General features: G+C 37.7%; 1 protein-coding gene across 21 annotated transcripts in view, besides 2 other annotated features; it reads right to left on the bottom strand.

Annotated features, from left to right (window-relative positions):
* TANC2 (tetratricopeptide repeat, ankyrin repeat and coiled-coil containing 2) overlaps positions 1 to 12,967 on the bottom strand; it is a 461,469-nt gene that overhangs the window by 182,450 nt on the left and 266,052 nt on the right. For all 21 annotated transcript variants that reach the window (XM_011524597.3, NM_001394998.1, XM_006721810.4 and 18 more), the window contains one exon: positions 7,177 to 7,440. In XM_011524597.3, coding sequence (XP_011522899.1) covers positions 7,177 to 7,440 — 264 coding nt within the window. The remainder of the gene's footprint in view (positions 1 to 7,176; positions 7,441 to 12,967) is intronic.
* Positions 11,564 to 12,064: an enhancer, noted in NCBI's record as "H3K4me1 hESC enhancer chr17:61310551-61311051 (GRCh37/hg19 assembly coordinates)". NCBI's record gives its function as "activates a minimal SCP1, AML or CMV promoter by ChIP-STARR-seq in naive H9 embryonic stem cells {active_cell/tissue: H9 hESC(naive)}" and the evidence as "EXISTENCE:reporter gene assay evidence [ECO:0000049][PMID:30033119]".
* Positions 12,065 to 12,565: an enhancer, noted in NCBI's record as "H3K4me1 hESC enhancer chr17:61310050-61310550 (GRCh37/hg19 assembly coordinates)". NCBI's record gives its function as "activates a minimal SCP1, AML or CMV promoter by ChIP-STARR-seq in naive H9 embryonic stem cells {active_cell/tissue: H9 hESC(naive)}" and the evidence as "EXISTENCE:reporter gene assay evidence [ECO:0000049][PMID:30033119]".

Genomic DNA, 12,967 nt, shown 5'->3' with positions numbered 1-12,967 from the left:
CATACTAACTTATTATAAGATGTCTGAACAGGATATAGTTTGAGGCATTAAGAACAAGACATTAGTGTGAAAAAAGCCCTCATCAGAGCAACATGAATTCTGCTAAAATTGAAGCAAGGATAAACAGCAAAGTTATGGTGAAGCCTGGGTGGAAGAATAGTAAAATCACTGATTTTTACAAAACATTTATGGAGACTGTTATTAGTCCATTTTCACACTGCTAATAAAGACGTACCCTAGACTGGGTAATTTACACAGGAGAAGAGGTTTAATGTACTCACAGTTCCACATGGCTGGGGGCCTCACAATCATGGCAGAAGGCAAGGAGGAGCAAGTCACCTCTTACATGACATACTCCCCTTTATAAAACCATGAGAAATCAAGAGATTTATTCGCTATCATGAGAACAGCACAGGAAAGACCTGCCTCCATGATTCAATTACCTCCCACTGGGTCCCTCCCACAACACTTGGGAATTGTGGGAGCTATGATTCAAAATGAGTTTTGGGTGGGGACACAGCCAAATCATATCAGAGACAATACGCTAAAGAAATCGGCGGTTTACAAATGGATAACTTGTTTTAAGAAGGGATGAGACAGTGTTGAAGCCTGCAGTGGCAGACCATCCACAAAAATTCATCTTGTTTGTATCCCAATTGAAAAGGACAAATGATAACAGCACAAACAAGAGCCAACATGACAGATGTCTCAATGGGTTCTGCTTTCACAATTATGACTGAAAAATTAAAATGGGGGCAAACTTTCCACTAAATGGGTGCCAAAACCATTGTCCCCAGATCAGCTGCAGAAAAGAGAAATGCTTTCAATGAAAATTTAAAACAAAATGAGTAGGATTCGGATCCTGGAGCATTTCTTTGAAGAATGGTAATGGGATGAAACATGGCTTTACCAGTACAATCCTGAAGACAAAGCACAACCAAAGCAAGGGCTACCAAGAGGTGGAAATAGTCCAGTCACAGCAAAAGTGGACTAGTCAAGAGCAAGCATCATGGCAACAGTTTTCTGGGGTGATCAAGACATTTTGCTTGTTGACTTTCTGGAGGACCAAAAATGACCCGCCTGCTTACTATGAAAGTGTTTTGAGCAAGCCAAAGCTTGAGCAGAAAAACACCTAGGAAAGCTCCACCAGAGAATCCTTTTCCACCACAATGATACTCCTGCTCATTCCTCTCATCAAACAAAGGCAATTTTGCAAGTTTAGATGGGAAATCCATCTTACAGTCTTGATTTGGCTCTGACTTTTTTGTTTCTTAATATTAAAATCTGTAAAAGGCATGCATTTTTCTTCAGTTTATAATGTAAAAAAGACTTAATTGACATGGTTAAATTCCCAGGACACTCAGTTCTTTAGGGATGAACTAAATGGCTGGTATCATCACTTACAAAGGTGTCTTGAACTTGATGGAACTTATGTTGAGAAATAAAGTTTATATTTTTTATTTGTATCTTTTAAGTATGTTTTCCATGGACTTTTTGAAGTCTTCTCATGAGTATAAATCCATGTAACTACCATCCAGACCAAGATACAGAAAGCTCCCTTAGTCAATAATCCTACCAAAGGTAACCATTACTTTAGTTCTATAATTATAGAAGTGTGATCATTTTGTTTCTATGAACTTTATATCAATGTACATACTTTATACAGAAGGCACTCTTTTGAGTCTTCTTTTGTTCAATATCACATCTGTGAAATATATTCACGATGTTGTAACAGTAGTGTGTTCTTTTTCATTGCTGCATACAATTTATCAGTTCCACTGTTGATGGACATGTGAATGGTTTTCAGTTTTTAGATATTATGAATAAAACTGATAAAACTTTATTTTATCTGTCTTCTCATAAACAAAAGCACTCATTTCTCATGGACATTCTATTCAGAAATGGAATTGTGAGGTTTTAGATAACATGCATATATAGCTTTATATACCTTTAATACATCTTGTCAAACAACTTTACAAAATGGAGTACCAACTTATTAACATACTCCCACCATCAATGTATAATTTCAATTGCAGCATTTCCTTGTGTTGCTTGCCATTGCCATTTCTTTTAATTTTGTGGGTTTGGGTATAGCGATATCTCACTGTCAAGAATTGTGAAGAATCTGTAAACTAACAAGCTTGGATGCTGGAAAAAGATATGAAACTTTGGGTCGGAGATCAAAGACAGTTTTTTACTCAGAGCAATAGCAGTAGCCAGAGGATCAACATTGTGCCACTTTCCTGAGCCCTAATTCCCACAGGGCACCTGTACTTGTAGATGGTCGCAGTATAACAGAGGCAATCTATGCCTACAGATTAGTTTGCATTTTCTAGGATTTTATACAAATGGAATCATATAGCATATATTTTTTTAATCTGGCTTCTTTCAAATAGAATAATTATTTTGAGATTCATGTATGTTGCTGTGGTATCCATAATTCATTTCCCTCTGTAGCTGAGTAGAATTTCACTGTATGGATACACAATTGTTTATCCATTCACCTGTTGATGGGCATCTGGGATGCTCAGTTACTGGCTACTACAAATAAAACTGTGATGATTATGTATATATTTTTAAGAACATATGCTTTCATTTCTTTTGAATGAATCCCACTCATTTTTGACCTCATATCTCTCTTACATATATTATAATTAAATGCAATCATCCCTTGGTATCTGCAGGGAATTAGCTCCAGAACCCCTGGAGCTATCTGCAATAGGATACCGCAATCTGCAAATGCTCAAGTCCCTTTTAGTTGGCCATCCATATCCATGGATATGGAACCACAGATACAGAGGATCATGTATAGGTATATATGATTATATATCACATACAGATATTATAATGTTTTATATATATAGATATATTTTAAAGAATCAGAAATATTAACCTTTGGAGAGAGATATTAGGTGTAGAGAGGAGAGTGGCTTTTACTTTTCCTTCTGTATTTTTTGTTTACAATAGTATTAGCCTCACAGACACTGAGAGGAAAAGCTTATCGGGCTTTTATAGGAGTACAGGAGTCTTAGACATCTCATAAGCTCACAGTTAGCATTTTTTTGGGTAAAATAATGAATCTCAAGAGATATGTCTGTTTAAGAAGAGCAAAGTAATTCTACATTCTTTTCAATAAACTAAAAAGAAGTCAAGAGAAAATGAGAACGAATATATTAAGAGACTTCTCCACCACCAAAATGAAAATTCCTAAGTTTGGAAATGAGGGCTCTAGACTCAAGCAGGTGACCAATTTACTATTAGGCACTGTCTATGCACCACACTGATGATGAGTCTAGCTAAATGCATATTACAAAAACTTAAAACTTAAGGGTCAATTTCAGCTTTTTTGTCTCTTTCAAATCCGTTTAGTGTCTTTGCTATCTTGTATCAGTATAGCTGAGTAACAATGTCCTCTCACGGAATTTTTACACATTTCTGATGCTCTATGTAATTCATGAAGTCATGTGAAACACATCATGAAACTTTCATAAAGTCTAAAACAGTTTCTGTCCCTATGCACAGCTAACACTGTATATGACCTGTATAGCCGAGATGCATCGCCGAGGGGTGACTTGAATCCAACGCCAGGGTAAGATTTTAGAATGAACGTTGGGATTGCCCTTTTTATACAGGCTTTGTAGGCCACTACAATGTTAACTGTATAGCTTATGATCTCTGTTCCAACAACTGAACTCTGTTGTGGTAGAGCAAAGTAGCCATAAATAAATAAATGAGTGTGGTTTTGCTGCTATGAAACTTTATTTACAAAAATAGAGTGTGCCAAACTTGGCCCATGGGCCCTGGTTTGCTGACTGCTCTCTTAGAGAAACAGAAATCTCTTAAAATCTCCATTTTTTTCCCCAATACCATTACACTGCTAATTGAATAAGGGCTTCTGATTAACCACTGAAAAATATATATTGCCAGTTGTTAGCAAATAGTGATAAATGCTGTTTATACATTCCATTATTAAAGAGAACTACAGTTTATAATTTTGGAAGAAAAGAAATTGTGAGATACTAGTAAGTCCAAAACTGTTTTGTAACTGGCTCATACTACCATCTCATATAGAGCTTACTTTCTGTAAATAAGCCCCCACCCCACCTTTTTCTGGGTAATCTCTCCTATGAGAAGACTATATTCTATAGTAAGATGAAGAAAATTATCATTAGATTTACTAACTACATTGTTATTTTTGTTTAAAGCTGATATCACAGATTGGTTGGTTCATGCATATATTCATTCATTAGTTCACTCACTATGGAACCTCTACTGGAGTCTTCTCAGTTGCTAATGTCAAAAAGTTTAGATTGTGACAGTCAGACCAACACATATACACAATAGCTGCACATAACACAAAGTAGACTGTTGCCAACACAAAAAGAGAATGCTTTCTAGAAGAAGAAGCAATTACTTGTGGCTGGGAGATGACTGGAGAAAGTTTCATGAAGGAGGAAGTATTTGAGTTCAGCCTGGGAAGGTGGCTAGGAATTAGATGGAGATAGTTTGGTAGTTGCCTCAAAGCTTATTACTGTCTGGTGGTTAGTTTCATGTGGTCCTGATGGCTTTCTGAGACCAACAGCAAAACATTAAATTAACCAGCTTGCTTGTTCCATTCTCTCTTCCCATAGTCTGTTCAGTTCTGGCACTGCTCTGAAGGTACAGGATACAACTAGAGAGGGAGCACTTGGCTAATAGGGAAGTACAACAGTTCTGGGATACACTTGGGGCTAAGGGAAGCCTGAGGAAGAGCTGAGTCGCTTTTAAACAAATGAGAAGGTCCTTGATTAACACAGTGAAAAAAGGTTCTAAGGGATACACATAAAATATAATGGGGAGTAAGTAGGAAGAAGACAGTAATACACAATGTTGATGTTAAGTAGTGACCAAGACTCATAGCCCTGAATTAACATTGTTCATTCAGACTGACTACATAGTTCCACTCATTGAGACAAAGCTTCTTTGTCTTCTACTAAGTGTTCAGTGCCTTTCTCAAATAATAGAACCAGAATTTTCTTAGAAATCATTGTAGCTTAGTTAGGAAGTAAGTTGGGACATACTATTATGGTTGGTAGTTACATTCCTCTATTTATATACGAGCAAGGATTTACATGCTTCTTTTCGGAAAAGACTCAGGCTTGCCTGGAACTTTTCATAATGTACAGTTGATATGGTTTGGATCTGTGTCCCTGCCCAAATCTCATGCTGAATTGTAATCCCCATTGTTGAAGGTGACTGGATCATGGGGCAGACTTCCCCCTTGCTGTTCTTGTAATATGAGAGTTCTCCAGAGAATGGGTCATTTAAAAGTGTGTGCAACCTCCTCCTCCTCCTGCTCTTCCTCCTGCTTTGGTCATGTGAGGTGCTTGTTCCCCCTGTGCCTTTTGCCATGATTGAATGCTCTCTGAGGCCTCCTCAGAAGCCAAGCAGAAGCTGCTATGCTTCCTGTACAGCCTGCAGAACCATGAGCCAATTCAACCTCTTTTCTTTATAAATTACTTAGTTTCAGGTATTTCTTTATAGCAGTATAAGAATAGACTAAAACAACAGCATTCTAGGATTCTAATATGACATGGTAGTTGGGGATTGACATAGTTAGAAGGTCCTAGGATAAAAAATTTCCTGTCACTATATAAAAGTGAATAATCTTTAACAATTAATATTAAAATCTTCCATAGTTACTTATCTTTCAGATGAGCCATTTCCCCTATAATCACACCTGATGACAGATGCTGATGGTCTCCCAGAGAACAAAGAACACGTAGGAAAGGGAACTGGGAATGGCAAGAAGCATTACACTATCAGCTACATAAGGAGTAATTATCAGTGAGATAATCTATCCAGGTCTTCATGAGGAAAGTAAGAGAAGCAAACATAACTTTGATTTTATAGTCTGGACAAAGTCCAGATGATGACATATTTTGAAAAGTCAGAACATTCAACTATTCTTCAAAAGTCCCAGGTTTGAATTATTAAACAGCAATTTAGCTGTAGTAAAAATACCCCTTGACATCAATTTTGAGGAGAGTAGGTGCTAAGGAATGATGACTCCGTATTTCAACCACTTAACCCTCAGTATCATTTCTTTCTTTTTTTTTTTTTTTTAGAGACAAGGTCTCACTATGTTGCGCAGGCTGGTCTTAAACTCTTGGCCTCAAGGAATCCTCCTGCCTCAGCATCCCAAATTGCTGCAACTACAGGCATGAGCCACCATGCTATATCATTTCTGATATGGTTTGGCTCTGTGTCCCCACCCAAATCTTATCTCGAATTGTAATCCCCAAGTGTCAGGGACCTGGTGGGAGGTGATTGGATCATGGGGGTGGTTCTCTCATGCTATTCTCGTGATAGTGAGGTAGTTCTCATTAGATCCGATGGTTTAAAACTGGTAGTTCCCCTGTGTGCTTGCTCTCTCTCCTGCTGCCTTGTGAAGCAGGTACTTGTTCCTCCTTTGCCTTCTGCCATGATTATAAGTTTCCCAAGGCTTCCCCAGCTGTGTGGAACTGTGAGCCAATTAAACCTCTTTTGTTTATAAATTATCCAGTCTCAGGTAGTATCTTTATAGCAGTGTGAAAACGGACTAATACAATTTTTTTTAACCGAGTTTGCTAGTGGTGTTGCAGAATTATTCTTTAGAAATGTAGCCACCTGGTGATTCTTCCATGAAATGATAGCCAGGATATTGTGAAAATACTGAAACTCACGGGATGAGGAAAAGCTGAATTCTTGTCTGCCTTCCACTTTTACAAACTATGGATGATGATTTCTGATAATACAAATTACACTGAGATATGCCAATTTTAGTAATGTTTTTTAAAACTAAGATTTTAAGAAAAGAACTAAAACCTCAAACTAAAATTCTTTCAAAGACTTCTCATTGAGAGAAAAGACTTTTAGTTGTTTGATGATATATTTTATAGGCTGTTTCTGAATTTCTATGTGTTTTTGTACATTTTGGGAGCAGAACTAAGCAATCACTCGAGGAAGATGAACCTTCTCCCAGATTCAAATAATATATACATGTATATTACCCAAACACAAAAGAACAGCTTAGTCAGAAAAGATGAATGGAAAATTTAAATACTGTCAGAGCAGGATTTATTTTCATTTCAATATATACTGGAGTAAAATGATTATTTAACAACAGCAACAACAACAACAACAACAAAAACTTACCTGCTACTGAATTTGGCCGTGGCATGAGATACAAAGGAATAGACTGTACTGATTGAGATAACACTGTTTCCAAATTTCTCTCTGGGATCTTATTCAGACTATAGGTGGAAGCAGTCATGTTTTCATCTACTCGATACAAACAGGAGTCCATGCTGGATTTTTGAGACTGCCAAGGTTTTATGTTTCCTCCAGATCCTAATTCTTTACTGCTTTCCCCAGCATATTTTGTGCGTTCCACATTTTCAGAATAGCTTGTTAATGTAGCTGAAAAAAAAAGAGTAAAATGAATTTAATAAAGCCACATACATACAGTTATTAATCTTTGACAAAGTTGATAAAAACACACATTGGGGAAAGGACACCATTTTCAAAAAATGGTGCTAGAAAAACTGGATTGCCATATGCAGGGGAATGAAACTGGACCCCTATCTCTCACCATATGCAAAAATCAACTCAAGATACACTAAAGACTTAATCCTAAGACTAGAAACTAAAAATACTACAAGAAAACCTACAGAAAACTTTTCTGGACATTGGTTTAGGTAAAGAAATTATGACTAAGACTTCAAAAGCACAGGCAACAAAAACAAAAACAGGCAAATGCAACTAAAACTAAAAAGCTTCTGCACAGCCAAAGAAATAATCAGCAGAGTGAAAAGAACCTGCAGAATGGGAGAAAATATATGCAAACTATACATCTGACAGGACTAACATTAAGAATATACAAGGAACTCAAACAACTCAACAAAAACTTCACAAATAATCCCATTAAAAAGTAAGCAAAGGACATAAACAGAAATTTTCCAAAAGGAGACATACAAATGGCCATGTACATGAAAAAAATCTCAATATTAGTAATCATCAGAGAAATGCAACTTAAAACCACCGTCTTATACCAGTCAGAATGGCTACTATTAAAAAATCAAAAAATAACAGACGGTGAGGATGCAGAGAATGCTCATATACACCGTTAACGGGAATATAAATTACAACAACCATTAAGGAAAATACAGAGATTTCTCAAAGAACTAAAAATAGAACTACCATTCAATCCAGCAATTCCACCACTGGGTAACTACCCAAAGGAAAAGAAATCCATATGTCAAAAAGATATCTGCACTTGCATGTTTACCACAGCACTATTTACAATAGCAAAGATATGGAATCAACCTAAATGTCCATCAACAGATGAATGGATAAAGAAATGTGGTATATACACACAATGGAATATTATTCAGCCATAAAGAGAATGAAATGTCTTTTGCAGCAACATGGATGGAACTAGAAATCTTAAACAAAACAAGTTAGACGCAGAAACACAAATATTCCATGTTCTCACTCACAGGTGGGTGCTAAAAAAAATGTGCACATATTGAAGTAGAAAATGGAATGACGGACAATGGAGCCTCTGAAGGGTTACAAGGTGGGGGAAAGGTGGATGATGAGAAATTACTTAGTGGGTTCAATGTACATTATTTGGGTGATGAATATCCTAAAAAACTCAGACTTCACCACTACGCAATTTATGCATGTAACAAAACTGCCTTGTACTTCATTGATTTATAAAATTTAAACAGTGAATTTAAAAGAAAATCTAAAGTAGAGATTAATCTGTTTATGATTACGTAAATTCATGATTAGATAATAAGAATATTTAGTAACATTATTTTTAAAAGTTACTGATGATCATTTCACTTCTTTCATGAAGTTTACATAACTGAAACCAAAATACAGTCATCTCTCACATATTTCAACAACTCTATTTAAATAAACTAAAAAAATTCATGTATCAGTCCTAGAGAAACTACAGCTCAGGTCTATTAGTGGTAAAATTTTCAGAATTTCATCAAAAGGGAATTTATATAATCTTCAAGGACTGCTGGAGAGCCTCAGCGGTCCCTAAAAGATCTCTATATTCTTTTTATTCTGTTCTTTTCCTCATTTAAATTTATTTCCTTGCTTCTAATATGTAACAAAGAATTAGAATAAAATAAGCAGTCCCTAAGCAGGAACTAATAGAAGAGACAGAACCTGCCCAAATAAGTAAGCAATAACAGGCCCTACTTGTACAGATCTCTGTAGCTCTAACTTTATGGATTTAAGTACCTTAATAAAATAAACTGAAAGGTCTCTTGAATTTTATATAGTCTTACTACTAATTATACACAAATAGAAAAATTTTAATTAATGCTAGAAATGAAAGGATTAAAAACATTAACATCTAGATTATAATTTTTTAGCAATAATTATAAAACAAGAATAAAAGATATCATCCCAGAGGAGTTTTTATATGTTAGTTCATTTTCTCTTCTTATATTTTGAATGTACCTATTGCCAAAAGAAGAGACCTAAGCTCATGAGGTAATTTCCACAATCGTTTTTAGTGAGGTTCTCTCTCTGCAAATTTAAATGGAGTTCTGGATTTTCTAATAACACGGGAAGAAGATGAATTATAAAGGATGACCTAAATTTCTCTCTAAGAAAGAAAATCTGACTTTGTTGTCACAAAAAGTAAAAGGCTAAGGAAGAAGAAATCTAAGTAAACTAGAAAAAGGTAGAGAAGTGGGAAGAGGGAAAATTTTATAAACTTAAGAATTAAAAGAGAGATGAGGGTATGTGCTTTTGGGCTCCACCTGAGAAAGGAAATCAGAAATATCACAGAACCCTTTGGAAACCTTATGAGATTTTGGAAGATAAGTTCCCGTATTTATTATACTCTATTTCCCCTTTAGTGATTAGTTGTAAAATCTTAAAAAATAGACAACCTATGCTCATTTTGGAAAGACAGCTAACAAAAAGAAAGCAGAGAAAATTATATTCCTACATTTTGGCTGGTCTTTGGGGACAAAAAACCAAGGATAGTATGTGGTAGCAAATCTGGAAAACAGTTTCTGAAACTCAGAAAATCTTTCCAAAGGAAGAACATGGAAAACAAATAAAGAATTGAAAAGTAACTCCAGGGGCCTAACAACTCAAAGGCCAAAGTGATTTTTTTGATAACTGGTAAAAAAAAAATCACCTCAGAAAAAGCTCATATACATTTTAAGCAAGATATTCTTTCTTCTGTATTAGATCATAAGCTTTAATACTAGTAATCATAATAAATTCATACTTATCACCTTATAACCTTTAAATTGTACCATGAGATACAGTAACTCATTCAATTATCAACAGAACACTCTAAGCGGGACTGATATTACTATCTTCATTATGCAGATGAGGAAACCAAACCAATGTGCAGATTAGGCATCTTGCCCACTTATATAGCTAACAAGTAGTCTCACAGGCAACTAATTACTTGGAATCTTAATCATTTACTATCTTATGTTGTTCCTTAACTCTTTTGTAGATGTACCTTGCCTCCTTTACTACACTGTACATTTCTGGAGAGTAGAAACTATATTTTAAGGGTTTTTTCATATTTAAATTAAAAAAAAAACTTTTAGCACCCAGCTCTGTAATGCCCACATGATGATAGGAGAGATAAAACAAAGGAAAGCACAGAGGCTAAAGCCCTGCTGTTCTCTACAAAAGTCATAGGAAAATAGCATGCAGTGAACATTCAGGAGACCCTCAGCACAGAAGGACACTGCAGACATTAACAATGAAATATCAGAACGAAAATAATCGGCCTCATTCTTCAGGGCATTTTTTACTACTACTTACATTAAAAATATTGTTACCAATGATATGAGTGTATATGTTATCTGGGAAATTATTTAAGCCAAGAAACTGCCTACTTTTAGGGAAAAAATGTAATGAGAGGACATAGTATTTAAAGACACATAAGCTAAGCTCTGAAGAATGGATTCAGTATTGGTGAAGTGTTTATGTCTGCTAGGAATATAGTACTGTACTCTTAATGTGGAAAAGGCTTTATATTTGTGGTAGGGGAATAGGTGCAAGAGATCAATCAGGCTTTCTATAATATTTTAGGATACTGTGAAACAATTAAATAGGTACTGAACTATTAGCTCTTGAGAAGACTGCATCTTCAATAATGGTCAAGGACTTCAATAAAAGTCCTTGCAATACCTACCCAACTCCCAGTCATTCCAGATAACAACTTCACATTCACCTAAATTTGGTCTTTTATCTTTACTTAATTTACTTTATTTTACTTTACCTGTTGGAAAAAGAGGTTTGCTTTATGAGAAAGGAGACAGAAATCTAACCCAGACTTGAGGGCTAGAGAATACTCTTGTCGACCAAGTTGAGTTGGTCAGGTAAAGACGAAAAAACAATGGTTTATCCAAAGACAAAAACATTCACAAGGGCACAGCAAAGTTCGTAAGAATTAAGTAAATTCAATAGACTAAAACTTTGGAGGTGGGTTGGGGCCAGTGGTGTGCTGGTACAAGTTTAACATCTTGGCTCTCTAAAAAACAACAACAGGCCGGAGGGGCCAAGATGGCTGACGAGAAATATATGCGTTTGGAGGCTCTCACACAGAAGAATGAAAATGGTGAGTGAATCCTGCACTGGCAACTGAGGTATCCAGGTTCTCTTATTGGGACTGACTAGGCAGTTGGCGTGAGCCATGGAGAGCAAGGAAAAAGCAGGGTGGAGCCATGGCCCACTCAGGAGCCACACAGGGCAAGGGGAGCTCCCACCCCCAGCCAAGGGAGGTGGTAGTGAGTGATTGTGTTACCCTGCCCAAGAATCCACGATCCACGGTTTTTCCATGGATCTGTGCAACCCACAGATCAGGAGATCCCCCTCGTGGGCCCACACACACCACCAGGGTTTGGGTCCCAAGCACAGAGCTGTGCAGATTCTCGGCGGCCTCTTGGCTGGAAACTGCCTAAGACTACGGCGGCCTCTTGGCTGGAAACTGCCTAAGACTACCGAGTTCCCAGGGGGAGGGGTGGCCATCATGACTGTGGCTGCCTCCTACCTAAGATGACTGAGCTCCTGGGAAGAGGGGCAGCAGCCATCACTGCAGCTCCAGTCTGCTGTTTTTCCCCTACTGGTGCCAGGGAGACTGGGCGGTTTAGACCCAGGAAGAATTCCCCACAGTGCAGCACAGCAACTGTGGCAGATTGTGGCCAGACTGCCTTTTTAGACCAGACCCTGACCCATCCCTCCTCACTGGCTGGGGCTCCCCTGTGGGAATTTCAGTAACTCCAGCCAGAGGTTTACGAACAGAACTCTGATCTCCCCAGAAGGAGAGGCAGCCGCAGTTGCAGCCGCAGTCTCGGTTGATCAGCGGACTTAGTCTTTCCCGCTGCTGGCTCTGAGGAATCCGGGTAGTCCAGACAAGTGGGATTCCCCCCAGTGCAGTGCACCCCCTCTGCCCAAGGGGCAGCCAGAGTGCTTTGTTAACCAGGTCCCTGATCCCCTGCCTCCTGACTGGGTGAGAACCCCCAACAGGGGTCGCCAGACACCTTATACAGGAGGGTTCCCGCTGACATCGGGTCAGTGCCCCTCTGGGATGGAGCTCCTAGAGGAAGAAGCAGGCAGCCATCTTTGCTGTTCTGCAGCCTCCACTGGTGACACCTCCAGTTGTAGGAGGGACCCAGGTGAACAGGATGGGATGGACCCCCAGCAAACTGCAGCAGCCCTATGGAAGGAGACTGTTAAAAGAAAAACAAATAACAGAAAGCAACAACAACAGCATTAGCAAAAAATGTCCCCACAAAAACCCCATCCAAAGGTCAGCAGCCTCAAAGATTGAAGCTAGACGAACTCACGAAGATGAGAAAGAATCAATGAAAAAATTCTGAAAACTGAAAAAGCCAGAGTGCTCTTCTCCTTCAAATGATTGCAACACCTCTCCAGCAAAGGGCAC

This window comes from Homo sapiens, chromosome 17 (assembly GCF_000001405.40).
Source record: "Homo sapiens chromosome 17, GRCh38.p14 Primary Assembly".
Taxonomy (NCBI): domain Eukaryota; kingdom Metazoa; phylum Chordata; class Mammalia; order Primates; family Hominidae; genus Homo; species Homo sapiens.
The sequence above is the reverse complement of the archived record's forward strand: the minus strand, read 5'-3'. Positions and strand labels throughout refer to the sequence as shown.